The sequence below is a fragment of the Homo sapiens genome, chromosome 3, assembly GCF_000001405.40.
Source record: "Homo sapiens chromosome 3, GRCh38.p14 Primary Assembly".
Taxonomy (NCBI): Eukaryota; Metazoa; Chordata; class Mammalia; order Primates; family Hominidae; genus Homo; species Homo sapiens.
Window position 1 is genome coordinate 194,695,675 of NC_000003.12, and position 27,622 is coordinate 194,723,296.

A 27,622-nucleotide genomic window follows, 5' to 3' on the forward strand; every position below is an offset into this window, starting at 1 on the left:
CACCAGTTCATTTCAAAATCTTGAGAGCCAGACACAACCTCATCACCCCTTGGTTCCAATCCTTTCATTTTACAGATAGGGAAACTGAGGCCCAGAGAGGGGAAAGGACTTGTGCGTGTGCCACAGGAAGCTTACAGCAGAGCCAGGATTAGAACCCAGGTTTTGTTTTCCCCAGTCTCTTTCTAAGATGCCACACTGCCCTCTTTCAGACACTCTCAGCAACAATGTAGGGAGCCCCACTGCCCTGGGGACACCAGCCAGTTGTAAGTGTGTGAAGCTTAGGGCTCTCCCCCTTCTCACGCTGCTAAAGTCTCCACTTTTGCCACCTCAAGCTATTGTTCCTCAGTCTACAGTGAATATCCCAAACACTCGCCTAAATGACTTTTCCATGGACCTGACAGTTTAATAGGGGACTCCCAAATATTAAAAGTCTTTGAGATCTAAAAGGCCAAATATTAAGGCTATTTTTAGGCACCATGATGGGAGGAGGCCAGCGTGGGCAGTAACAAATATTTCAGTGCAGGGAGTACTTTTAATCACTTTATGGATGTTCTCCTAACACCATAAGCCATGTTCCTAAAGGTTCCAATCTTGCAGCTGAACTCCTGCCCAGAGAAAGAGAAAACGAAGTTGCCAAGGTCACATGAGTTCAAGGAGGGAGGGTGGGTCGGGACGCTGGGTCCTGCATCAGCACTCTCTCAGTTCTGTGTTCCAGTTCAGGGCTCGCCAATGATTCCCAGGTACCATTTACAGATCTACAAAACCATCAGCAGTTCCTTACCCACAGCTTCTCTCTGTCTTCCCGCAAGGCTTCCCCTGTAGGGAAACCTACCTTCATCTTTGTACGTCGACCTGCCCCCGGTGGCTGTGATTCCCAGGGGAAACCTTTGCTGGTGCTCACCACCTGATTTCCAGTGGAGGAGCTCATCTCTTCAAAAGAGCAGCATGTGATTCAGTGCTACTGTTTGTGTCTGCACCAAACCACGCTGCTTATCTGAAAGAGATCCACAGACACACCCAGGTGTATGAGGCCTTCCCTCTCTTGCGTCTGCAGCAGTGGTTGCAGATGAAAGAAACTTACAGAGTCCATGGCTGGTCGGATCTTTCTGGAGGTGTCCACACTGATGAGATCAAAACAGGTTCCAGTCATAAGCGACAAATCTGCCACTCCATTCCTCTGCCCCAGGTCTTGGCACGTGTCCAACGTTACCTGACAAAAGTGGAATTGGGGGCTGGATGGGGTAGGGTGGTGAGGCTGTAAGGTATAGCTAAGGAGAAAGGCACCTAAGACCCAGTTCTAGCGCTGGTTTTCCCATATATTAGCCCTTTGACCTTGGGCAGGCTTCCTTTTGGCACCAATTCTTGATGTGAAATAGAGCTGGTAATACCTAATCAAACTCTCTCTTTCAGGTTGTGTTTAGGCTCAAAATCTAAATGTTGGACCAGTAAGGGCCTTGTAAAGTGCAGTACGGGAAAGGAGTGGTTGCTGCTGGAGTACTCACACGGAAAGAATACAGTCTGGCTGGGTGAGCTTCGGTGAGGCTCGCCCACGGAGCCAGTGTGCCAATGGGTAGGAAGGTTTTCAGAAACATATCTCACGGCCCAAGGTGGGAAAACCCGAAAAAATGAAGGAATTTATTAAGAGTAGGAAGCAGTAGGTGGGTATTTGAATGGCATACTTCATGTGGAAACATTACGGGCTAAGTTTCCATCCAAAATGCTCGATATCCACATGGGCTACATGGCCATCTCCAGCCCAATCTCTTCCCTCAGCTGTGGCAGGAGAGCACGGCGGCTGCCCTATGCTCTCTGGCTGCATTTTTATTTGTTCCATATAATGGGATTCATTTAGTCAGCATTTGATTATCAGCCCAGATCAGTATTACTGATGTGATTAGTGTTCTATACTCAAGCACACACACACGCACAACCGCCCAAAACTTTCCACAAATATTTGCAATTGTGATTTCATTTACCTCTCAAATAGATGTCCCTGAAGTGGACACACATCCTCTTAAAGTAATTCTTTAGACTGATTATTTTCTAGAAAAGCGGAGGTTCTGAGATTTTTCTTGGAAACATATGCAGGGAGAGTATACACAAGAACACGTGGGATCCTCTTATCCTGCTAGAACGGTGGTGTGTGTGTGTATACATGTGTGTGTTCCTGTGGGTAATCCTGGGACTGTGCTCTAGGGTGGATATGAGCTGTATTGTCAACTCAACCTGTTGTGCTTGGCATTGGTGTGAAATGATCAGTGAAAACTCATAGCGCAATGAGAGAGCGGTGCGATCCTCCCAGGTTTCCGCCAAAAAACCCTTCAGATCACAGCATCCTTTCCTTTCCATTGTGCTCTGAGTTTTCTTCTTTGTTTGCTTTTAATATTAAATGTTCTTAAACTAATTGAAACCACTGATTCCCTTTGAGAATGCTCTGTATTGCTGGAGACCATGGTCCAAAGACGCCTACTGCTATGATGACTGTGGATAATTACAGTAGAGCTGCCTTTCACCCTCAGGGTATCCCAGTTTGATGAAAAATGATAAGTGATATAGCCAACCCCCTGTAACCTAGGCAAATTTGTCAACCTATGCATGTCTTCATTCATTCATTTCTGTTCTCTCCTTCACTGAAGGGACATTCACAAGGTATCTCCTGTGTGCCAAGCACTGTGCTGGTTGTGGAGGGAGGTGGGAGAGTGTGGGGAAGGGGTGAGATTGGGGGATAAAGTGGGGGGCTGGAGGATGAACCCAGGGAGATGAGATGCAGTCCTTGCTCTTATGTCCAGCAGAAAAGGACAAAGCGGGTAAGACCAATCCAACATAAAGAGAGGCATGGTCAGTTTATGTGTAAAGTATTGAGGGAATATAGTGCAGGGGCAGCCAACCCACCCACGGGAGGGAGGGGTGATCACAAAGGGTTTCACAGAGGAGATGCTCTTCCTCTTTAACCATCAAAGTGGGTCTCCTCAAAGGCTCCGCCTGGAGTCACAAACCTGCCTGACTTAGGTTCTAGAGGAAGCATCATTCTCCAGAACTTTTTTTTTGGTGGTGGGGAGGTGTTTTTGGAAATCTCCTACCTGCAGCCTCTCTCCAGCCCTGTAGTTTTAAAGGCCACTTCAGAAAACCACTCAAGTTTTTTCCTCATTGGTCCATTTCTTGACCTGCACACTTGGCCACCAGAAAAAAATAGAGTATGGTGAGTATAATTAAATAGGGTAGAGATTACCAGCTGCTTTAATAAATCTCATACTCTTACTGGCTTGACATAATAAAAGATTAGTCCTCACTTATGCAATAGTCAGTATGAATACTCTTGGTTGCCAGGCATTCATTCAGAGACCCAGGCTCCTTCTACATTGTGGCTCCACCATCTCCTAGGGCAAGAGCCATGGGCCAAATTGAGTCTGCCAGCTGTTTGTAAATGAAGTTTTACTAGAACACAATCACACTCATTTACTTACGTATTTATGGCTGCTTTTGAACTCTGACAGCAGTTGCAACAAATACTGTGTAGCTCACAAGCCTAAAATATTTACATCTGGCCCAAAAACTTGTTTATCTCTATTCTAAGGTCTTGGAATTTCTGCATCTGGCCCAAGAATGTCCTCCAGTGGATAGAGAATGTGTATGATCATTTAGAACATTTTAATGGGCCAGGTCCAGAAGGGATACACACAACTTCTGCCCATGTTCCATTGGCCAGAACTCAGTTCGTGGCTATATGTCACTACAAGGGAAGCTGGGAAATGTAGTCTAGCTGTGTGCCCAGAAGAAAAGAGAAATGGAGAAATGGGCTTGGAGAAGAGGTGTGCAGACTCTGCAACAGGTGGAGGGGCAGGCCTACTCATCCAAGTCTGCATGTACACTGGAGATTCAATTTTTTGTTTTTTAGAAAGGATCTTGTTCTGTCACTCAGGCTGCAGTACAGTGGTGTGATCATAGCTCACTGCAGCCTTGATCTCCTAAGCTCCAGTGATCCTCCTGCCTCAGCCTCCTGAGTAGCTGGGACTACTGGTGTGTGCGATCACGGCTGGCTAATTTTTTAATTTTTACTTTTTGTAGAAATGGAAGTCTCGCAATGTTGCCCAGGCTGGTCTCAAACTCCTTGGCTCCAACAATCCTCCAGCCTCAGCCTCCCAAAGTGCTGAGATTACAGGTGTGAGCCACCATGCCAGGCCTGGAGATTCAAATCTTGTCCCAAACAGAAAAAGTACCTACTCTCTTGTCCTCTCTTCATTTTATGACCACTGGCTCAGGTTTATACAAACTAAGACTTTGGAAGGGTCATGGGGAAATCATTTATCTGTGTTTTGTGTAGGTGTTCATCATTCAGTTTGCACATGGTCCTAGGGGCTGCTTTAAATATAGGTCAGAACCCAGAGCCCAAGTAACTTCTCAGAAACAGACGCTGAAAATCACATTAGCTCGGGACTAGAAGGAACATTTGAGCTGGACTGTCTTTCCTTGGGAGGAGGGGCAGTCCCTGGATTCTTACGACCCTTAGGAGCAGGTCTCTCTTTCTCCTGGGACAGCCCAGCCCCTGGAAGGACAGCTCTGATTCTTGGAAAGGTCTTCTGAGATTTGTCTTCCTGTGACCTGTTGCACGGGTCCTCCCTCTGCACTGTGAGCTGCAGAGAGTGGGTCGCCTCATTTTTTCCCAGTGTGCCGGGCAGATCAGAAACCTGGCCACGACAGGCCTTCCACTCTACTTCCTTGTCAGACACAGCCACCCTAGGGAAGCTGCCTGTGCTCTTCTTTCCTGGAGGCCTCAGCTGCCTTTCGCCAGGGAGCCCAGACACCTGCTTTCCAGATGAGAGGGGGACCTAGATAGAGGTGTGAGTGCTCACTGCACGCTCTAGGAAGCCTCTAAGTGAGTCCACCCCCTGCCACGGCCCCCCTGAGATGCCTGACAGAGAAGCCACCGTCCGCTGTTAGAAACACTTCTATGAACTAGCTAATGCTTCACGCTGGCCTGGAGGGTGGGCAGGGTAGGTGGACCTTTACAGTCGCTTGGTGGGGCCACTCCAGTCCAAAGTCTGGCCTTCAGTTATGAGGGTCCTGAGGTAATACTGGGTTTCCATCCTTAAGAAGTTTACCTGCTTTATAATATATGGTAATATTTGGATTTTTTTTTTTTTGAGATGGAGTTTCGCTCTTGTCGCCCAGGCTGGAGTGCAGTGGTGCAATCTCGGCTCACTGCAAGCTCTGCTTCCCAGGTTTAAGCGATTCTCCTGCCTCAACCTCCTGAGTAGCTGGGATTACAGGCACCTGCCACCATGCCTGGCTAATTTTTTGCATGTTTAGTAGAGAGGGGGTTTTGCCATGTTGGGCAGGCTGGTCTTGAACTCCTGACCTCATGTGATCCGCCTGCCTCAGCCTCCCAAAGTGCTGGGATTACAGGCATGAGCCACCACACCTGGCTTGGATTTTTATTTTGTTTATTAGCATGTTACATTTGCAATAAACTAACCTGATTAAAAAGTAAAGAATTGCATAATGCATTTTTAGAGATATTTTGATTCAAAATGGTATTTTTAGAAAGGCTTATGGTACCTAACAGGATTATCTGGGAAATTTACTGGTATGGGTTTTAATGGAATACAGCATTACTTTATTATAAGTATTATCTTCTGATAACATTAGGAATACAACTGTTAATAGTTGAAATAGAGATATCATTATCAAGAAACAAAATGAAGGGAGGAAAGACAAAAGAAAGCAAAGGAAGCAAGCTGCATCTTTCCTGGAGGCTAACCAGCAGCTGAAGGAGAAGCGCAGGATTCAGACTCAGAGGCTGGGCTCGCCCCCGTCCCACAAGGCTCTCCTGTGACACTGTACATAGTGGTGTAATTCTCTGAGGTCCTATGCTCTCATCTGTAAATAGGGATGATTATACTACCTTACGACATAGTGCAATTCAAAGGAAATCACACATATAAGCCACCTTTTATGGAAAAGCGTACAAATGTGAGGAATTTTCATTGCTGTCCTCCTGGAGGAGCCTGGAGGTCAGGCTTGGGTTAGGTCTCAGCAGAATTAGGGAGTGTGCCAGGGATAGATTCTGACCACACTGCAGCTGAGCCTGCTGTTTCCTTTTCTAATTGCTTTCTGGGATTCCTGCTTCCCCCAAAACATGTTGAAGATGGAGACCAAGTATTTCCTTAGGAACTGCATTAGTAAAGGCCAGACTCTCGACTTGGTAGCCTCACCAAAGGACTGTCACCTTGGGAGGCTGTGTCTAGCCAGTGATCCCACCAGCCTTCCAAGCCTTTCTTCTTTTTCTTCTTCTTCTTTTTTTTTTTTTTTTTTTTTGAGATGGAGTCTTGCTTTGCTGCCCAGGCTGGAGTGCAGTGGTGCAATCTCGGTTCACTGCAACCTTCGACTCCAGGGTTCAAGCAATTTTCCTGCCTCAGCCTCCCAAGTAGCTGGGGCTACAGGCACGCACCACCACCCAGCTAATTTTTTGTATTTTTAGTAGAGACGGGGTTTTGCCATGTTGGCCAGGCTGGTCTTGAACTCCTAACCTCAGGTGATCCGCCTGCCTTGGCCTCCAAAAGTACTGGGATTACAGGCATGAGCCACTGCGTCTGGCCTCCAAGCCTTTGTTCTGAGGAGGTCGCTCTTCTATGGATGTGGCACCTTTTAACTTATAAAGGATGCATGCGCTCAGATGCTTTCTTTCCTGATGTTCATAATCACCCAATGAGGCAGGCAGAGAGCAGTATTAGTAACTCAATTTCCAGATTCGAGCGATCTGGGGATTAAGGGGTGAAATGGAGTGGAAAAGAAAGCGACCACTAAGTGTTTAGAACCTGCCGTATGCAAACAAAGTGCTGGGCCAAAGCTGCGAGTTTCCCGTGGCGGTAGAGTAAGTAACAGGCAGAACTGGGGCTGGAGTCCTGGTCTCCTGATTCCAAGTGTTGTAGAATGGCACAAGGCAGAGGGGATTATGGGTAAGCGGTCCCGGGGAGGGCGGGTAGACCGGAGACGAACAGCGAGAGGCAGCGGAGGTGGAGAGGGAGGTTGGCAGTCGGCAAGTATGAGGCAGTGGGTGGGGTTGGGGCCACAGCTCCCATTATGTGGCTGTCATCAAAGTGCCCAAAGAAATAAAGGTTTGCAATTACAGGGAGACTTGGGTTTGGGAATCTCCCAGCAGCAGGGCCCAGATGTTAATTAAGCCTAAGATAGGTCATTATCCCTCTCCATTGGATTGAACAGAGGGAAACTTGATGCAGACGGCAGGTTAAAGGCTTGCCCATATGGCTGTTAGGTGTTATTATTTCTGGTTTTTAAGAGGCACCCAACATGGGGCTTTGGGGCTCAGCCAAGGGGAAGGAGGTCACACCTAAGTGCTAGTCACTGAGGAGGTTCCCCACTCCTCCCTCACAACTAAAGAAGGGCACTCGGCGTTTGCCCCGTGGCTGTTCTGGGGCCGTCTGACTTGTGTTTGCACACTGAGGCCACTGCAGAGCTGGAGAGCAGAGTGCGGGGTGCAGAGGAACTTTGCGGGGTGTTCTGACCTCAGCCTCTCAGTGCAGACAGGGAGAGGAGGCAGTAAAACCTTGAATGACCAGTGTGGCATGGAGTGGCATGGACACCCACCAATCTGAGTGGACACTGGGGACAACACTGGCCAGTAGGTCCTGGGGCCTCTGCTTAGCCAGCTGTTAACTCTTTGACTGTGGATCTTGGACAGGTGTGTGTAGGGGGCGCTGCCAGAGGAGACCCTTGGTAGCTGGGGACACAAGAAGGAGTACTGTGGTGAGGCTTGGGTGGGTGGTTGTTTAATAGATATAGAAGTAATTCAATGTTTTACCAATTAGTGTGTCTATAGTAGCAGATTTTCTATCAATCATTAGAAAAGGACTTTTTTAATGTACAAATTAATTTACAAATATCAAGGACTTTACAGTAATAATAATAATAACATATTATTATTTTCATTTTTATATATTTTTTTGAGACGGAGTCTCACTCTGTCACCCAGGCTGGAGTTCAGTGGTGCCATCTCGGCTCACTGCAACCTCTGCCCCCTGAGTTCAAGCAATTCTCTTGCCTCAGCCTCCCAAGTAGCTGGGATTACAGGCTCCTGCCACTGCGCTCGGCTAATTTTTGTATTTTTGGTAGAGACGGGGCTTTCACCATCTTGGCCAGGCTGGTCTTGAACTCCTGACCTCATGATCCACCCACCTCAGCCTCCCAAAGTGCTGGGATTACAGGTGTGAGCCACCACGCCAGGCCTGTATTATTGTTAATAATACTATTTAATCCCTTCACAGAAGCACCGGGGGCTTTGTTTTCATGCCTATTTTCCAGCAGTCTCCCTTTTAGATATAAAGAGGATATTCCTGACCTGTGGTCAGTGGACAGGAAGCCTAGGCTAACTCTTGCATTTGGGAAGGTGAAAAGAAGTAAGTTGTTCTTTCTTGCTCATTATCTCAGTCATCAGGGTTTTGATGTTATTGTAACACAGATGGTAACCTGTGGATAGGCCATCTGTTTCTGTTCACCTGTATAGATCAAGTCATTGTACACTGATGAAAAAGCGAGTTGCTCAGGATGTAACTTGTGATTCTAAACATCAAATAGAATGACAAATAGAAACTGCACTTCTTATATCACCTGCAAAAGTGCCTCTGCCGATTGGTCTATCTCTATGTCACTGCTTACCTTTGACGCGAAGTTACAGGGGATGCCATTCCTTGGCTGGCAGCTTGGAGAAGGTCGGCAATCATTTTCAGGCAAAGCCCATGGCATGAGTTGGACTCCTCATGCTGCCTGTGGCTTCAGTCACTCCAGGCATACCAATTCTCCAGGACGCTATAAAGATTTCCTAATTAGACTTTTATTGTGCTTGGAGACATGAGGATGAAGGCTGCTGGGCAGAGTGTGGCCATGATCTTAAAGATCAAAGTCAGATCTGGCGGCTTACTTCTGGATCTTGACCTTATTTTTGTAGAACTGAATAATAATAATAATAGCAAAGGTGGAAAGAAGAGGCTTTGAAGTATTATAGTGGCCTAGTTATGCTCTACCTGGGAAATGCAAACAGCTGTGAGTAACTTTAATTCTCTGCAGCATATCTGCTGAAAGGCTGACTGAACATTCAGGACAAGCCTTAGAATAAACAGGCTTGCCTGGATTTAAATGTCCAATCCTTTGTGTCGATCTTGGGGAATTAAACATAATCATGTAAACTATTGATTCAGGCCGGGCCTGCCATGCTTGTCCACAGCTTCCCCCGCAGATGTCTGGTTTCTGAGTTTGCTCAGCCATGGGAAGGGTCCCTGTTTAGGAGGACCTGCCTTTAATGTATTCTTGCTTTTCTCCTAAATGAGCATTCACCATGATGCCTACAATCACGTTAAAATCTACTTAAATCACCCAGGAATGTTTATAAAATACTTATAACACAATAATTGAACTTCACAAATAATAACCCATATTTCATAGTAACAGCTTACAATGACATTTTTATGTCCATGATCTCATTTGACCTTAAACAGCCCTTTGAGGTGGGTAGATGTTATAACCTCCATTTCATAGATGAGGAAATGAAGGCACAGAGAGGGGGGATTGGCTTAGAGTCAAAGTGTCAAAGATACAGGTGATCATCTGGTTACAAACTGTCTTTTTCAGATGGAAAACCCAGCTAGAAGAAAGAGGCTTGCCCAGTTCTCCTAATGATTGGAGCAGAGCTGACACGCCAAGGGCGTTTTCTTGCGGTTATTTTAAGGAAGCCACCTGAAATCTAAGACACTGTCCATGTGATCAGTGGCTTCAGTTCGAATGTTCCTCGGGGTCAGATCCTGGCCCGGAGCCTTTAACATGTGACCACGGGGTTGTGTTGAGCCCACAATTATCCAATTTAAAGCAATGTAAAAGACGTAGAACCAAACTACTGAGGGTGGCACATTCAGTCCTGGGAGAGGGACAGAGAAAACAGGTGGGGCATTCACGGTGGTCCCTGGAGCTTCAGCCACTCCAGAGGGTTCTGGAAGGCTCCATTGCCCACTCTCCTCTTTCCACACCCCCACCTCCACAACCTGTACTCCTCTCTGCCAGGAGCCTTGTCCTAGGCTTCAGGGTGGGAGAAGTCTCCGGTCCTGCCCCATTCCCACGGCCTCACCCCACTGACCTCCTCACTACCTTTCCCCTCTCCAAATCCGAAAAGGCTCTCCCATTGCCAGGACACTGAAGAATGGGAGACCCGCCATACAGTCCTGTCCTCAAGGAGCCTGTGGCTCAGGGAGAGGAGAGAAGGTCAGAGCTGCGCAGAGCTGGCGGTGCTTCCCCATGGTGAGTGAGCTCTCAGCAAAACGCCAGTGGAATGTGGAGATGGGCAGTGGTGGGAGTGGGGAGGAATGCTTAGCAGGGAAGAGGATAATGCCCATGAGCCCAGAGGGAGGAGTGGGATTTGTGACTGCGGAAGGCATTTAGGCTACAGGAATCACATGAGTCCCCTGGGGTCAAGTGCGCGCGCACGTGTGTGTGTGTGTGTGTGTGTGTTTGTGTGTGTGTGTTTGTGTGTGTGTGTGGTGTGTGTGTTTGTGTGTGTGTGTGTGTGCGCGCACGTGTGTGTGTTTGTGTGTGGTGTGTGTTTGTGTGTGTGTGTGTGTGTGTGTTTGTGTGTGGTGTGTGTTTGTGTGTGTGTCTGTGTGTGTGTTTGTGTGTGTGTGTTTGTGTGTGTGTCTGTGTGTGTGTTTGTGTGTGTGTGGTGTGTGTGTGTGTGTGTGTGTGTGTGTGTGTGTGTGAAGATGAGATATAGGCAAGGGTCTGTCATTAAGAGCTTGTATATCCAACAACTTTGACCTTCCCGTTGAAAACCGTGGGTTTGAAGGATTTTGAGGACAGAGGGCCTGGTGCCCTGAGGCGATGGTATAGGAACTTCCTGCTGTGTGGTGTGGAGGAAGGATGGGGGTGAGGAGGATCTGAAGGCAGACAGAAGGTGAAAGAGGCTCTTGCAATAGTCCAGGTGGGATGAAGGCCTGGGCTGAGGGAGAGATGCTGGGAATGCAGAAAGGGCAGGTTCCAGGGATATTTCAAAGTAATCACGAGGACAGTGAGAAAGAAGGAGTCAGAAACACAGGGCTGTGCCGGAGCAGCTGGTATTGGCTTGGGAGACTGATCGTGCATATCTTTTTCCAATTCTGCTTTCAGGGATGCAATGCTGGTAGCTTTAAACCAGCTACGGTAGAAGTATTAACACCACAGAAGTCAAGAGAGGCCTTTTCTCTGCAGAGAGCTGATTGTTAAACATTGACCAGCACACGTCTGCTGACACACCTGCGGCTTCTCCTGCTGTGGGTGGTCCTGAGGGCAGTGTTAGCTGGAGCTGCCTGAGGAAGCTTCAGAGGCAGGTGAGATGGGCTTTGGGCAAGGGATAGTTGTGGTAGCTGTGGGGTAAGGGAAGGCATTTCTGGTGAACCTAACGGTGTGAGCAGAGGCCCCCCTACTTTGGGGGTATCTTGGCACAGAGCAGGGAACTTAAGTGATACTCAGTGACGATCGTGGTCTATTGTTACCTAAATTAGGTCTTTACGTGTTGGTAGATTGGATGCACAAATGAAATGTTCCTTAAATCCTGACAGGTACATGGTGCCGGTTTGCCAAGAACCAGCCTATGTGTGCCAGGAGTTCAGCTTTACAGAGAGTGTTCCCTGAACCCAGCTGCCATGGTTCATTATTCACTTTAAGGGTGACTCAGAAATCAGCTTAGATTATTATTTAGCGGGAGAGGAAACTGAATCGCAGAGAGTGCTTCCGAGACTTTCTTAAGACCACAGCCAGTTAAACCTTCATCAGGATTAGGACTTTGGAGTGAGAACTTGTATTAGTTATCCACAGCTACATAAAACACTTCTCCCACATTAAAAAAAAAATAGTTAAAAAACTGCTTTTTTTTTCTTTTTCTTTTTTTTTTTTTTTTGAGACCAAGTCTCACTCAGTTGCCCAGGCTGGAGTGCAATGGTGCAATCTCAGCTCACTGAAACCTCCACCTCCCGGGTTCAAGCAATTCTCCCACCTCAGCCTCCTGAGTAGCTGGGATTACAGGCACCTGCCCTCATGCCTGGCTAATTTTTGTATTTTTGTACAGATGGGGTTTCACTATGTTGGCCAGGCTGGTCTCGAACTCCTGACCTCAGGTGATCCGCCCGTCTCGGCCTCCCAAAGTGCTGAGATTACAGGTGTGAGCCACCGTGCCCAGCCTTGTTTTGTTTTTAACTATGTTGCCCAGGTTGGCCTTGAACTCCTGGACTCAAGCCTCCTGAGTGGCTGTGAGGACAAGCACGTGCCACCAAGCTCGGCTTTTAAAAATCATTTTAAGTGGCTTACAACAATAATACACATTTATTATCTCACAATTCCTGTGAGTCAGGGATGCAGGAGTGATTTAACTGGGTGAATTTGACTTGGGGTCTCTCATGAATTTGCAGTCAAGATGTCAGCTTGGGCTGCAGTCATCTGCATGGGGCTGGAGGATCTGTTTCCAAGGGGCCCCACTCACAAGGCTGACAAATTAGCACTGGTTGCATTGGTTGTGGGCAGAAGGCTTTAGTTCTTCACGGGCTGTTGGCAGGTGGCTTTGGATCCTCACCAGGAGGGACTCTGTATGGGGCTGCTTGTGCATCCTCACAACATGGCAGCCAACTTCCTCCTGAGTGAATGATCCAGGAGAGATCAAGGTAGAAACTGCAATGCCTTTTATGACCTCACCTCAGAAGTCACACATCATCATTTCCACAATGTCACAGTGGTTATACAAGTGAGTCCTGTTCAGCGTGGGAGGAAATAACACAAGAGGCAAAGATCACTCGGGACCACCTTGTATATTGGCTACCACAGAACCCAACACAAGCAGTAAGTTAAAATCATGAAGCTCCTGACGTCAGAGGACATGGCTCTGCCATTTGTTAGGTAGGGATCCTGTTAAAGGCTCAGCTTCCTCATCTGGAAATGGAAATATAGGCCTTGCCTGGTTTGCTGTAATGGGTCGTGATGAGGACCAAACTACAAAGAGTGGTACAGATGTTAATTACAATGATTTTTCCTATGCCACCCATGGAAACAAAAATAGCAAGATAGAGAAGGCTAAATCCCAGTTTTTTTTGACTGCTATTCAGCAAAGCCTAGGAGACTTTCATGACACCTGGAGAGGCGGCCGTAGTGTATGTGTAAGAGTACCGGTTCCAGAGTGGGGCTCCCCGAGCTCAGCCCCACCACTTACCAACAGCGGACCTTGGGCCAGATGCTGAAGCCCTTTGTGCCTTGGTTTCCTGACCTATTACTGTGGAAATGATGACAGTACCCTCCTCATGGCATCGTGAGAATTAAATTAGCTAATTCAGGTGAAGCATTTAGAAGAGGACCTCCTGACACTTAATAACTGCTTGATATAAATAATAGCTTCTGCTACAGAGTGGCCATGAAGTCTGGACATGTAGATATTATATTATCATGCATCATAAGGTAATACCAACAAACCATTTATTATATATTCACCTGTTTCCAGATTTAATAGCCAACCTATATTAGTGCTCTGGTCCTAAATGTCCATGCAGTTTACTGTGCTCTTTGGTTGTATCTCTAATCCAGGTAGTTGATCTGGTGTGAGATTCCAACCTCGTGTGAGAGAGGAGAAGACCTTCATTACACTAATTCATGCTGGCCCAGCCTCCAGGCCACCCCAGATGTGAGGTGCTGTTAACACTGCTCTCAGGTGCATTGCTCAGCCCAGTGGGACCTTTTATGACACCAGCACACAGAGTAGAACAGATGTCCCTGTGCTAAGTTGATTTTGCAAACTGCAGTGGCCAGCCCCATAATGGCATAAAGATGTGCTTTACCCCAAAGGGGACAGGGTATTAGAAAACAGTTGAAAAGGCTTCTGAACAACATGTGAGGGTGCCCGGGAGAGGAATGCTCCAGATAGGGAAGGTCTGGGGCTGCAGAGATGTAGCCCATGTTAATAAGACACGTAACTCTGAGCACGTAAAACTCTTGAGCCTAGAAACTGGTAGCACTGATGGCGTTTAAATTACGTTATGAAACAACTCTTTGAAAATAATTTAACAGTTTCTATAAATACCCAGCTCTCTGGTTTGTGTAAAGGCCTTTTTTTTTTCTTTTCTTTCTTTCTTTTTTTTTTTTTTTTTGAGACAGAGTCTTGCTCTGTCACCCAGGCTGGAGTGCAATGGCATGATCTCGGCTCACTGCAACCTCTGCCTCCTGGGTTCAAGTGATTCTCCTATCTCAGCCTCCCAAGCAACTGAGATTACAGGCGCCTGCCACCACGCCCAACTAATTTTTTGTGTGGTTTTTTTTTTGTATTTTTAGTAGGGACGGGGTTTCGCCATGTTGGCCAGCCTGGTCTCGAACTCCTGACCTCAGGTGATCCATCCGCTTCGGCCTCCCAAAGTGGTGGGATCACAGGTGCAAGCCACCGTGCCCAGGCTGCTATCTTATTTTCAAGAATTTGACTCACGTCTTTCTGAAGAACATCTATCACTTAGAATGGCTTTCCCAAAATATGTTTTTAGAACACTAATCCCATGGAATGTTACGGGCATGGCATTAAAAAAGGTTTCAGTGATCAAATGAACTTGGGAAACACTGGGTCAAATATTCTTGAAGATGTTTCTTTTTAAAAGAAATTGTCAGAGCCTTTCATATGCTAATATGTCTCATGATTCTCTATGAGTGATAAAATCTATAGTTTCCCCTACATTTATTTAACCACAAACCCTGTTTTTGGAAGAATATATTTCAGAATAAGTATTCAGTGGAATCTAGATATAGGAAAGTGTAGACCCAATAATTGGAAACCTATTGTTTAGTCCGCCCAGTCCGCCTGGCACATCCACTTTTTCCGATAGCACCGTCTCTTCTTCCAAGAACTGCTCCCAGCTCATTCCTGTGGTCTCCAAGGGAACTGGTGTTTTCTTCTGTGTGCCATCCCTTGGCCAAAGTGACCCACCTCCCAGCCACTAAGTCCCTTCCCTGGAAATTTTGAATTTGGGACCAATAATTCTTTTTCTGGTGGTTGAGGCTGCGAGACACAAAACCTAGGCCGAACGCAGTGCTCACGCCTGTAATCCCAGCACTTTGGGAGGCCAAGGCAGGCAGATCACATGAGGTCAGGAGTTCAAGACCAGCCTGGCCAACATGGTGAAACCCCGTCTGTGCTAAAAATACAAAATTTAGCCACGTGTGGTGGTGTGCGCCTGTAATTCCAGCTACTCAGGAGGCTGAGGCAGAAGAATCATTTGAACATGGGAGGCGGAGGTTGCAGTGAGCCGAGATTGCACCACCGCACTCCAGCCTGGGTGACAGAGCAAGACTCCTTAGGCCACTGGGACAGTAGAAGATGTATTATCTAAATTGCCTTAGTTTGAAAGCAACAACGACAGAAAAATAACACTCTGGCTGATTTAAGCAAAACAAAAAGAAATTTGCCGGAAGGATACTGGGGCCAAAGGGCTGTCTCCTGTTGGGCAGGTTGTGCACTGCACAATTCAGGTGGTGGGAGAAGTGCTCACTTTTTCATCTATGTAGAATTGCACCTCCTAAAGTTGCACCGTACACTGCCTATAACACCATATGCAGTAGTCCTGCAGGAGTGTCTCACAGAAGTGTTTCTCAAACTCTCTGTGCTGAAGGACCAAGTTTTTAGTGTTAATGTTATTATTCAAATCCATTGTAGATCAAGACTTTGGTAAATCAAATACGAATTACTTGAAAGACAAAATTTCACTTGATATCCCAGCAATTGTTCTAAAAGTGACTAAGCACTCAGTTTCTGAACTGACCTCACTATGAACTAGTAACTCATCATTTGGGAAAGGGAACTGGTCCACAGACCACATTTGGAGAAGCACTCACAGATTGTCCAAACTCCACAAAGGTGCGGAGGGAATTAGGTGCCCAGAACAACTAGAACGAGGCCATGAAATACATCTGGATTCTCCATTTTCCATATGTTTTTCTGTCTGCCTCTTGTACTCTTAAACCTCATGGCAGAATGGCTTTCTCTGGGCTGTAGAAAACACGACCAACAGCTCTTTAGGTTTTGTGTCTTTTTTGTTTTTGAGATGGGTTCTAGCAATTCTCCTGCCTCAGCCTCCCAAGTAGCTGGGACTACAGATGCATGCTGCCATGCTCGGCCAATTTTCTTTGTATTTTAATAGAGACGGGGTTTCACCTTGTTGCCCAGGCTGGTCTCAAACTCCTGGGCTCAGACAATCCACCCGCCTCAGCCTCCCAAAGTGCTAGGATTATAGGCATGAGCCACGGCGCCCAGCCCAGTGGCCTATTTCAACTGTCTTTACTATAAGGGACCTGGATTTAGAGTCTGACTTTCCCACGGTATGATTCATCCATTTTGCTGTCTTCTTAGTTCTCATGGAAGGAAGCAACTTAATACACACAGCTTGGGAGGATGCCAGACATTCTTCTCCACCAAACGTGACATTCTGTGGCTGGGCACGCTGGCTATTTAAAGGTTCCCTTCCCACATCTGAGCCCCAGTGTAGAGACATCATGTTTGGCTGACAGGTAGAGGGAGACAGGCTAGGCATATTCTGTACACTTTGTTGGTGGGCCTGTAACATGGTCCTCTTTCTAGAAACCATGTTTAGTAATAGTATCAAAAGCTTTAAAAATGTCTTTTGCCCTTCTAATAATTACACTTTGAGGATCCTCTCTTAGGGAACTGAAAGGCCATCAGAGATTTATGCCCAAATATATCTGCTACAGTTTAACTGTAAAAATAAAAATTAGGCCAGCCTGGGCAACATGGCGAAACTCCATGTTTACAAGAAATACAAAAATCAGCCAGGTGTGGTGGTGTGCACCTGTAGTCCCAGCTACTTGGGAGGCTGAGGTGGGAGGATCATCTGAGCCCAGGGAGGTCGAGGCTGCAGTGAGAGGAGATCGTGCCACTGCACTCCAGCCTGGGTGACAGAGAGAGACCCTGTCTCAAAAATAAATAAATAAATAAAATAAAAATTAGGAATGACCTGAATGTCCAATATATAGGAATAAGTAGATAATAGAAAATGAAGTGAAAGTGATCCCAATTTATTAAAATTATGTTTATAGTGTTTTTAGTAGTATGGAAAAAAATATATATATTAGGGTAAAATATCAGGATACAGTAGATTACATATTTAAGGAAAAAACACTAAGAAAAAAGACTGGCAAGAAATAGGCTAAAATGTTCATAGTGGATGTCTCTGAGTAGTGCTACTTAAGGTGATTAACATAATTTAAAAAATATTTGTATGAACTTTCTAAATTTTGTTTTTGTTTTTTTTTTTGAGACAGAGTCTCACTCTGTTGCCCAGGCTGGAGTGCAGTGGTGCGATCTTGGCTCACTGCAACCTCTGCCTCCTGGGTTCAAGCAATTATCCTGCCTCAGCCTCCAGAGTAGCTGGGATTACAGGCGCTCGCCACCATGCCTGGCTAATTTTTGTATTTTTAGTAGAGATGGGGTTTCACCATGTTGGTCAGGCTGGTCTCGAACTCCTGACCTCAAGCAATCAGCTTGCCTCAGCCTCCCAAAGCGCTGGGATTACAGGTGTGAGCCACTGTGCCTAGCCCTAAAATTTGTATAAGGAGAACATATTACTTTGATAATCAGGGAAAATGACATTAAATATTTTAAAAAGGGGAAAAAAAGATAGGGCAGTTGCCTATTTTAGGTTGGGCCCCAAAACGAAGCTGGCGGGTCACTCGGGGGTTAGGTCTAGGCTTCAGGCTCAGCAGTTTGATTTCCTTGGCTCCTTGAGCAGATCTGGGCCAGGATCCCTGGCTCGTGCTCACAAGCAGACACAGAGCCCAACTCAGTGTGGGCTCTCGTGCATGCGTTGAGTGCCTGCGATTATCAACTCCCATTTCAACAGGTTACATTGTTTTTCTTTCCTCTTAAAAAAATTGGTTTTTAACATGCCCAGGGTAAAACCTCTGAAGTGGGTAGCATTTTCTGATTCCATCCTAGATCTGGGGAAATCCCTGTGATAGCAAAGAATAGGCAAAGTGGCTGAAAAGAAAATGGGTCATAAGGCTGAGGCTATGCATTCCCCACAACCCAGAAATTCCACTCCCAGATATGTAACCTGGGCAGACCCATACATGTGCATGAATATTCATTATGGCATTTCTTTGTAACAGTGAAAAATTGGAAACAACACCAAAATAAATGAACTCCCATTAGCATGGAGGAATCCCACGTCAAAAGTATTGAGCAAAAAAACAGCAAATAACAGTTTGATTCCATTAATATTAATATTATATTTATTTGCTATTATATTTCATGTTATCTATTTATTATTATACAAGATATTATAATTTATTAATATTATATTAGTTTATAATTTATTAATATTATATTAGCTTATACTATGTTAATATTATTTACAATGATTCTATTAAGTTAAACATGTGCTCGAATACCATTGATTATTTATGGATATCCACATATGTGGTAAAAGTAAAAAGTCATGTATGAGAATAATCAACGTGGAATTCCCGAGAGCGGTTGCCTCTGGGCATAGAGGGAGGGAAATGAAACGAGGGAGTGGTCCATGGAGAGTTCAATGGTATCTGTGAGGTTTGTGTCTTAAAAAAAATATGTGAAGCGAATATGGAAAAGAATGTTAAGACTTGACAAAGTCTGGTGGTGGGTACATGTAATTCCCTAGACTCTGCATTCTTGGAATATTCCATAATAAAAAATAAATAAAGTTAAAAAATGGAAAGTAGGACACCAACTCAGAAAGTGCATGAGACGGGCGGAGAAGACACAGGGGAGGAGTGGGCTGGTGGGCCCTTCTGGTGTGAATCTGGACATGGTGACATGGGGCGTGGAGGGCACCTGGGCACCAGAGCTGACTTGTGGGGTGCGTGTGCCCAGCCCTGCTAACCACAACATGCGATGCCTCTTTCCCTTCTTTTTCTGGCTGTACTTCTTAGACCTGCGGTCTGCTGGGAATTGAAAGTCTCAGCAGCAAGGCTTTGGTGCTGGACCATCTTGTTCTGAGGTGTGCTGCCTGCCCTAAGTACCTCCCTGGGTGGCTCCAGCCTTTGTACTCCAGGGCTGATGTAAGAACAGCACAAGTTCATGCTCACCTCCCACGAAGGGATGGAGGAAGCTTTGGGGCCTGGAGATCCTGATTTTATTTTACTTCCTCAGGCTTTACTAAGTGCTCAGATAATTCATGGAAGTCTCCACTGTCCTGGTCATATGCGCTTATTAATCTGCCTGGTCTCGTCCTTTTTATTCTTAATAACAACGTGTCCAGTTCAGTTCTATGTCAACATTCCAAGAAAATCCAGACTGAGCCTCCTCCTCACCAGTGCTCCTGTCTAGTCCTGGAGGCAGGGGACCTGCTCTGGAATCTCAGCTCATGCAGCAAGTACCCGGATGACTTTAGGCAAATCATGTCACCTCGCTAGATCTCCCTCTCTTCCTCTGGTACATGGGGCATCCATACCTGCCTCACCAGGTTGGTATGATGTCATGGTTGCATAATGTATCATTTGTCACAGTTCCAAGCGCGCTGTCTGCATGAGAACTGGCAGACTGAGTTTGCCTAGCACAGACACAAAGCATTGATTTACCTTTCCCTAGGGTCAGATTTGGCACTCAGCATTGCAGGCCTTTCAGATTCTGGTTGTCTCTTTCTTCTCACCAAGCTACCCTTCCTCCTCCTTCCTTCACTCCCAGCCGTTCTTTCCCAAGTTACCTCTCTCAGATTCCTGCAGAAAAGCCTGAGTGCCAGCCTCCAGCTCTGGATAAGATTCTCCAAGAGTGGTTCTCAATCTTGCAGAAACTCAGAATCTCCTAGGAGCTCAAAACAACACCACCAACAACAACAACACCTCTTCTCCAAGCCGCAGACTCAGGAAATGTGATTCATTCAATCTGCCTGGGGTGGTCTAGGCATAGTACTTTCTTTACCTTCTATCGCATTAGGTGAGCCTACTGTCTGTACTAAGATTCTGATCTGTAAACACCAGACTTTCCTCTTGGGCTCCTGAGGAGCTCCCCCACCATCCTAACAATGGGAAGGAGCTATCACACCTTCATTTTTTCGGTTTCTCAAATTCTTTCCCAAGCCACCGCCCGGTGCAGTGGCTCACGCCTGTAATCCCAGCACTTTGGGAACTCAGGCAGGAGGATTGCTTAAGGCCAGGAGTTCAAGACCAGCCTGGCTAACGTAATGAGACTCTGTCTCTATTAAAAAAGTAAGAGAAAACGTTTAAAAAGAAAACATTTAATAATTTGCATGTTTTTCACAAAGTTCTTCCCTAATTTTACCTTGGATAACTTGTGTGGTAGGCAGAACAGAAATAACCTCCAGGCTGTCTCAAAGGGTGAAATGGCTTTTCCTCCCAGGGCCCATATGTGCTTCTGATCTGCTTGTCCTGGGACCTAGTTGCCCTCCTGCCTGTGGAGCTCACTCTTACCACAGATCTGAAATAAACAGCCCAAATTAAACCCAGCTACATAAAGCCATCATCTTAGACTGTGAAGAATTTGTATTTAAGGGATATTTCCTATTTATTTTGGGCTTGTGTCTCCTAAGACATTGATGCTGAGTGTGGCTAAAGATTTTGAGCAGGCCCTGGCGTGTGGTCCTTGAAGGCACTGCAGGCTCGAGGGTCCCTCTGGAATCTTCCACCTTAGCCACGTCCTCCTCTCTGCGGCTCCTCCTGGCTCAGTGGGCTCCCCCGTTGTGCATGACACAGCAAGCCTCTGAGGCTCGGACTCTCTTGGGCTGCTTCTCCCTATTCCAGGTACAGACTCCAGGCTAATGGAGGATCTGGAGCCTAAAGAGCGGAAGAGACTTACCCCAAATCACACAGCTGTGGTCACAGCAATTGAAAATGGTGTGGCGGGAGGGGCAGTGCTTGGAACTCTTGGCTTTGGTTCACACTTGTCTAGAGGCCTAGGCTAGGAGGTTGGGTCTGGAGCCACATACTTATCTCAACAGCATTTAGCTTTCAATGAGCAGCATGGCTAAAGTCTTACTTCTAGTTAAATAAGGTGGTGACACCCTGGAAGTTTCCACAAGCCTCTGGCTAAGAACTGGTTATAAAAGGTAAAGCAGAGGCTCATTTCCAGTTGAATACTCATCCCAGGATGGGAATAGAGGCATCTTAGACAGAAAGGGGAAACAGAAGTACCAAGGAAGTTTGGCTGAAATTTGGGGAAGATACTGACAAATTGAGTATAACTGACTATATATATTTTGATATTTGGTTAAACTTTTGATGGGTTGGTACAATTTCATTCTTTGCTTCCCTACTCCTGCAAAACAACTTTTTATATAGCATGTTCTGATGTCTTACACCATTTGAGCTTCACAACACCCATAGTTGAGGTGATCATTGCTGTTTTATGGATAAGGGATCTGAGGGTCAGAGAGGGGCTGGCTTCTGCTCGGGGTCGTGGCTGAGTTGTCGGAGAAGCTGGGACTAGCTGTGGCTCTCTCCTCTCTAGCATCCTGCCTCTAGTTGTTCAGCTTTGGACCAACTAGGTTTTCACTTCAGCGTGACACATCGGTGTGGTGAGTTTCAGAGCAAGGATTTACAAAAGGGGATACTGTTATACTGGACCCCTGTTAATGTCAACAGGGACAGCACCAGGCTTGACAAGCCAAAAAAGAGACCCAGAACCAGCGAATGAGACACATGGTTTTATTAGGGGGAATTACACACAAGGATGGTGCAGTGGCGGCAGGCTGAACAGAACTGCCACAGCCTCCAGAAAGCGTGCAGTTAACACAACATTTTTACCTCATATGCTCCCCTTAATGACCTCCACCTGGCAACCTCCATTTAACCCAAAACAAAGAGCTTCAGTCCCCTGTATGGTCCACCTTCGATTGGATGGCTGGGGGCTCAGATGTTCCTCATAGGTAAGGAATGACTCTCTGGGTTGGCCACACTCAGAACTCTGAACACATATTCAAGTGTATCTGCCATACAGAGCCATTCTCTGTGTATGCTTAAGAAGTTATTGCTATCAGGCATGTCTACCATACAAAGGTGTGTCTACCATACAAGGGGCTTGGAAGGGGTCTTGGGAAGAAAAATATGAGTTCAATATGGTGCCTGCAGAATTGGCAAATACGTGACTCCAGTAAAACCACCCAGGGCAGACATCAGTAATCTATCAGGACATTCCTTCCCATTAAGCCTGAACATGGCTTCTTAAGACTCTGATCCAGGCAGCCATGAACGTTCAGCAGAGCGGGAACTCCTGTTAATGAGGCCTAGCCTTACTGAATGCCTGCTATGTGCCAGGCACTTGCTACCTTCACTATCGCAGTACTTCTGCGTAACTCCAAGCAGCAGGCACTGTTAACCTCATTTTACAGATGAGCAAACAGGCTTAGAGAAGTTTCTATCTTGTCTCTCCAGAATGAATCTAAGATTTGAACCTAGGCAGTACAACTCCAGAGGGACAGCTTTGTTTTCAGCTCTTTGTTGCCTTCCACCCCTGATCTGCTACTACTGCCTGCTGCCTTTCTAGGTGCAGAGTCAATGTGACTTGAGGGCGAGAATGAGTTCACATCTCCTGGCTGCTCCTCTAGCTCCCCTAATGGTACACAGCCAATGGTCACAGGCCTCATTTCACAGAAGGAAGCACAGATGGGCTGTGACATTCCAAGGAAACAGCTTAAATGACGGGAAGAAATGGAAATGGGAATAGTTAATTTCCCAACCCAGACCTCTAGGTCAGCCCAGGGACCCCAGGGACTGGGGAAGTTTTAAAAAATGCCTCTTCTTGTTCCTCAAAGCCTAACATGGTTTAATTTTGCAAATACACCTAGGGCCTGGGTCTGAAGAGTAACACAAGCAATAGCTCTGCCTAAAACCTATCTTGGATTTTGTACAAGAAAGTTGTGAAGAAGTAAGAGTGACTGGTGTTAAATGATCATCTCATAGGAATTACTACAGAATTTGACCATCAGCCTGGGCTCCTTTTTGTGCTTCCTGGGACCATCTAAATTAGTAGTTACAACGTTAAGTTACAATGCTAAATTGGAAAAATAAAAGGAGTTTTCAGTTGTGTGTGTGTGTGTGTGTGTGTGTGTGTGTGTGATAATCTATCAAGCTTCTTTAGGAGAAAAACATTAGTTGATTACATTTATTTATTTATTTATTTAGAGATGGAGTCTTGCTCTGTCTCCCAGGCTGGAGTGCAGTGGTGTAATCTCGGCTCACTGCAACCTCTGCCTCCCGGGTTCAAGTGATTCTCCTGCCTCAGCCTCGGAGTAGCTGGGACCACAGGTGCGCACTAACATATCCAGCTAATTTTTGTAGTTGTAGTAAAGATGAGGTTTCACCATGTTGTTCAGGCTAGTCTCGAACTCCTGGCCTCAAGTGGATCTGCCTGCCTTGGCCTCTCAAAGTGTGTGAGCCACCCCGCCTGGCTGATTACACTTTAAATACTATGTTTGCTGTTTCTAAACAGGCATAAAATGGGCTTACTGTTAAAAATGTGGAATCAAATCTGAAAAAAACCCACAAGGATAGTGTCTTTTTCATCTCTGTTGGTCTTAAAAACATTAAAAACGACAACCTAATTAGCTACGTCATTTTCTTTTGACTGTGGGCAGGTGGCTTTCTTTCTGGTATTCTAGAGAAGGATTAAGGATCTAAATAGATTTGCAGATAGACTGGTACAAATGTCTCCATTGTCTGCCTCCTAGGGATGGAGATCAAGAATCCCTACAGGTGGTTTATGAGGTGTACCGGTTTGAATATAACCCCACAAGATCAATATCCTCCTGGAAGCTGTGAATGTGACCTTCCTTGGAAATAGGGCCTTTACATATGCAATCAAGTGAAGATGAGGTGATATAGGATTAGGGTAGATAGACCCTAAATGAAAAGCTTGGTGTCCCTATAAGGAGAGAGAGACACAGGGGAAAAGGCCATGTGATAACACACAGGCAGGGATTGGAGTGATGCAGCTACAAGCCCAGGGGAGACAAGGATCCATGGCCACCACCAGAAGCTGGGAAGAGCCAGGGAAAGGATTCTCCCCTAGAGACTTCAGAGGCAGCATGGCCCTGCTGACACCTTGATTTTGGACTTCCAGCCTCCAGAAGTGAATAGATTTCAGAACAGAATAGATTTCGATTATTTTCAGGCACCAAGTTTGTGGTACTTTGTTATGGCAGCCCTAGAAATGAACACATAAGGGAATCTGGAATGGAATTTGGACTAACACTCATTCCAGACTTTCTTTCTGAGACCTTGAAAGTGATACCTCGATGTGGGTGAAGTGCTTGTTTTCCAGGCAGTCTCTCATTTCATCAAGTGCTGAGAAAATGGAGCCCAAACGGAGTGTGGCGGTTTTTGAAGTCAAGAATAGGCAACATCCACGAAGGCTTTTCTTTTGTTACCTGATTTCCATATTAGCTGATCTGGGAACTAGAATCACTTTTAGTTGGGAAAAACGGCTGCTCTTCCTAGAGATCTGAGCTGACTCAATAGAATAGCACTGAGAGGTTTGCTTCTGGCATGACAAGTGTTTACTGAGCAGCCAGGAGGGGCGCCTGCCTGCCTCTACTTAAGGAAGAGAGTCTGGCAATGGTGTTCAACCTGGCACATTGGAAGTACCTGGGGAGCTTTAAAAATTACCAGTGTCTGGGTCCCACCCGCAAGGCACCGATTTAACTAGTGTGGAGTGCCACCTGGCATCAGGAGCTTTAAAGCACCCCCAGGTGATTCTAATGTACAATCGGGGCTGAGAAGCACTGACAGAAGCACCTCTAGATTCCAGGCCCTTGGAAGGAATATTTCCAATGACTAAAGTAAATTAAGGAAAATTAGCAAAGACATTAAAATATATATCAAAGAGAGAGAAAAACATAAACAAATGTGACATTCAAGATGCAGTTAAACTCTGTAGTGAGCTTCTCCAATATTTAAACAATGCAGCAGCTGTTTTGGAAAGCATGGTCCCACCAAATGCAGCTCTGAGGTCCGTGGAGCGAGTTTGGATGGTTTTCTTTGTTGGAGCCCTCGGCACAATGCCTGGCACAGAGCAGTCTTCAAGGAACATTGGCCAATGTTTGTCTCTTTAAGTCAAAGAGAAAGCCATAGTTCAGATATTTCTTGGCAACCTCTTTTCTTCTCCAAAGAAGCCTGGATCATCTAAATTATCCCCCAAAGCTTTCTTCATTCTTAAGAAGGCGCATCGAATTCTTTTAAATTAAATAGTTAATGACCATTTGCTGAAGTTCCTGGATTCATTTTAGATGGGCTAAACTGGTGGTTCAGAAGAGTTGGGCACTCTTATATGGCATGTGAGCACTACCCTGACTAATCCACATATATAGTTTAGGCCACTGTATATATGGATTAGGCCAATTGAAGGGACTTTAATGTTTCATGCTTTAATTAATCCTAAGGGGCTGTCAGTGTGTAAGTTTGCTGGTGTGACATACTGCTGATCACCTTTGTGATTTATTTGCTCCCAACTTCTTAATCAGAAACAAAACATCCAATTATCCTATTGTTATTATAAGAAAATACAACACGTAATCCCAGCACTTTGGGAGGATGAGGTGGGCAGATCACGAGGTCAGGAGTTTGAGACTACCCTGGCCAATATGGTGAAACCTCGTCTCTACTAAAAATACAAAAAAAGAAAACAAAGCAAAACAAAAAACAAAAACAAACAAAAAAAAACTAGTGAGGCGTGGTGGTGCGCGCCTGTAGTCCCAGCTACTTGGGAGGCTGAGGCAGGAGAATCCCTTGAACCCAGGAGGCAGAGGTTGCAGTGAGCTGAGATTGTGCCACTGAACTCCAGCCTGGGCAATAGAGGGAGACGTCTCAAAAAAAAAAAAAAAAAGAAAAAAAAAAGAAAAAGCAAGCCACTTATTATGTGGTTTTCAGGAATATCAGTTGGTAAGAAAGTGGGAATTGCCTATTCTTGTATGAACTATTAGGTGCTATGTGGACACAGTTTAAGGAAGGGATGAGTGTGGAGTGGAAACGTCTACCACACTGAAGTAGGTGGCTGTGTTTCGAGCTTAATCTTTGTGATATAGTATCACTGCTAGCATATCTTTTTTGTTTCTGAGTAGGTATGTTTGACTCCAAAAACTTGGTAAGGACCAGACAAGGGAGGTCAATTAGAGTTAAATGTGTTTGCCAAAGCTGATGGTAGCGACCGCTTGGGCTACTGGGTTGAAAATAGTCCTGAGGCCAAATCCACGTGTAGAGGGAGAGAGTACTAAGATTGATCAGCAATGTCTCAGAGCACATGGAGGAGAGAATGGAAGCAAGAATGCCAGGCAGTTATGATGATCTTCTTAGATCCTTTTTTTGGAAGACAAGAGCTCTTGGTTGGCCAGTTGGCCTTGTCCTAGTCAAAGGAAGTGCCATTTATTTTCTAAGCAACTATGTGCACCACGAAATTCAGTGTGTGGTGCAAAGCCAGGTGACCCTTGGCTAAAAGCCCCAGTTGAAAGGTTCCCAAAGAAGGTGAAGAATTTAGTACAATCACTCTCTATGGCCACTTATTCTATTTTTATTCATTCATCATGCAGAATTTTTCTGTTTGTGAGGTATTTAAGAACATGGCACAAGAAGCCAAGCTGTTTCAAAGAATAATGGTCAATGTCCATTATCCATGTCCAGGCTTGTGATCACTGGCCCTTTAGAAAGCTGCGCATGACACTCCTGTTCCACCCCCTCTTATATCCCAGCACTCAGCAGCATGAGGCACGGTCAGCAGCAGCCCATACCACACCTTTGTGGGAATTTGAAAAACAGATCTCCTCTAGGTTATAGCCCCATGGAACACAGCTTGGCAAGCAGACCTGGGTTGGTTTTCATTTCCCACTCACCCCGTGACATGGGTCCTTTTGCATGCCACCACCATCAAGACCACATATGGCCACCTTGCCTTCATACTAAGAAATCTAATTTAATTCATGACCAATAGCCATCGCCCCCAAATAAATTACAATAACTTTGTGAAAAGCCTGTAGGAATAAACACAATTATATGCATTCATTATCATCACCCATTAAAAACCATAAGTACCAAAGGTCACAAATCCCTGACTTAGATATTTGGGAGTCCCAAGGCATCACGAGACTGAGTGATTGAAAATTTCATTGTGTGTCATGAACAAAGCTGAACCCTGTACAGTCTAGTGGCCCAAAGTCCATATCAAACAGAAGCAAATGTTTGCTAAGCTGAATAGGCTAGTGAGTAATTCAAAGACGGTTGGAAGGAAATATCATAAACCTTTGTTCATGCAGAATGCAAAGGCCTGGCAAAAGGACGCTGAGTGAGCCAAGTTTGAATAGGCTGTTACTTTAATGAAGAAGTAATAGGGAATCTGGCCATCTGGAGGGTGTGGCAGTTACTTTGAAAAGAAGCTCTAATTTGCATAAGCAAGTACTGAATGAGGGAATTTTGGATTCAGATGTCTGTGGAATGGCTCTGCTGGTTTGGAGCCTTAGGCAGGTGGGACATAGATTTTGGGACCGGTCATTTATTTTAATGTGCGTTATATGGACGTGTGTGGGTGTGTGTTTGCATGTGGGTGTGTGTGTGTGTGTGTGTGCATGTGCGTGCACAT

General features: G+C 45.7%; 2 long non-coding RNA genes across 4 annotated transcripts in view, besides 1 other annotated feature; both read left to right on the forward strand.

Annotated features, from left to right (window-relative positions):
- Window positions 1-9,898: 9,898 nt before the first annotated feature.
- The window catches only part of LOC105374292 (uncharacterized), a 120,878-nt gene continuing 103,154 nt past the window's right edge, over window positions 9,899-27,622 (forward strand). For all 3 annotated transcript variants that reach the window (XR_001741084.2, XR_002959667.2, XR_002959668.2), the window contains exons 1-2: window positions 9,899-10,302; window positions 11,164-11,363. This is a non-coding gene — a long non-coding RNA (uncharacterized LOC105374292). The remainder of the gene's footprint in view (window positions 10,303-11,163; window positions 11,364-27,622) is intronic.
- The window catches only part of LINC01968 (long intergenic non-protein coding RNA 1968), a 73,748-nt gene continuing 58,872 nt past the window's right edge, over window positions 12,747-27,622 (forward strand). The window contains exon 1 of the long non-coding RNA NR_037891.1: window positions 12,747-13,473. This is a non-coding gene — a long non-coding RNA (long intergenic non-protein coding RNA 1968). The remainder of the gene's footprint in view (window positions 13,474-27,622) is intronic.
- Window positions 27,026-27,320: an enhancer, noted in NCBI's record as "tiled region #10974; HepG2 Activating DNase matched - State 8:EnhW". NCBI's record gives its function as "activates a minimal TATA promoter and a strong SV40 promoter by Sharpr-MPRA in HepG2 cells {active_cell/tissue: HepG2}" and the evidence as "EXISTENCE:reporter gene assay evidence [ECO:0000049][PMID:27701403]".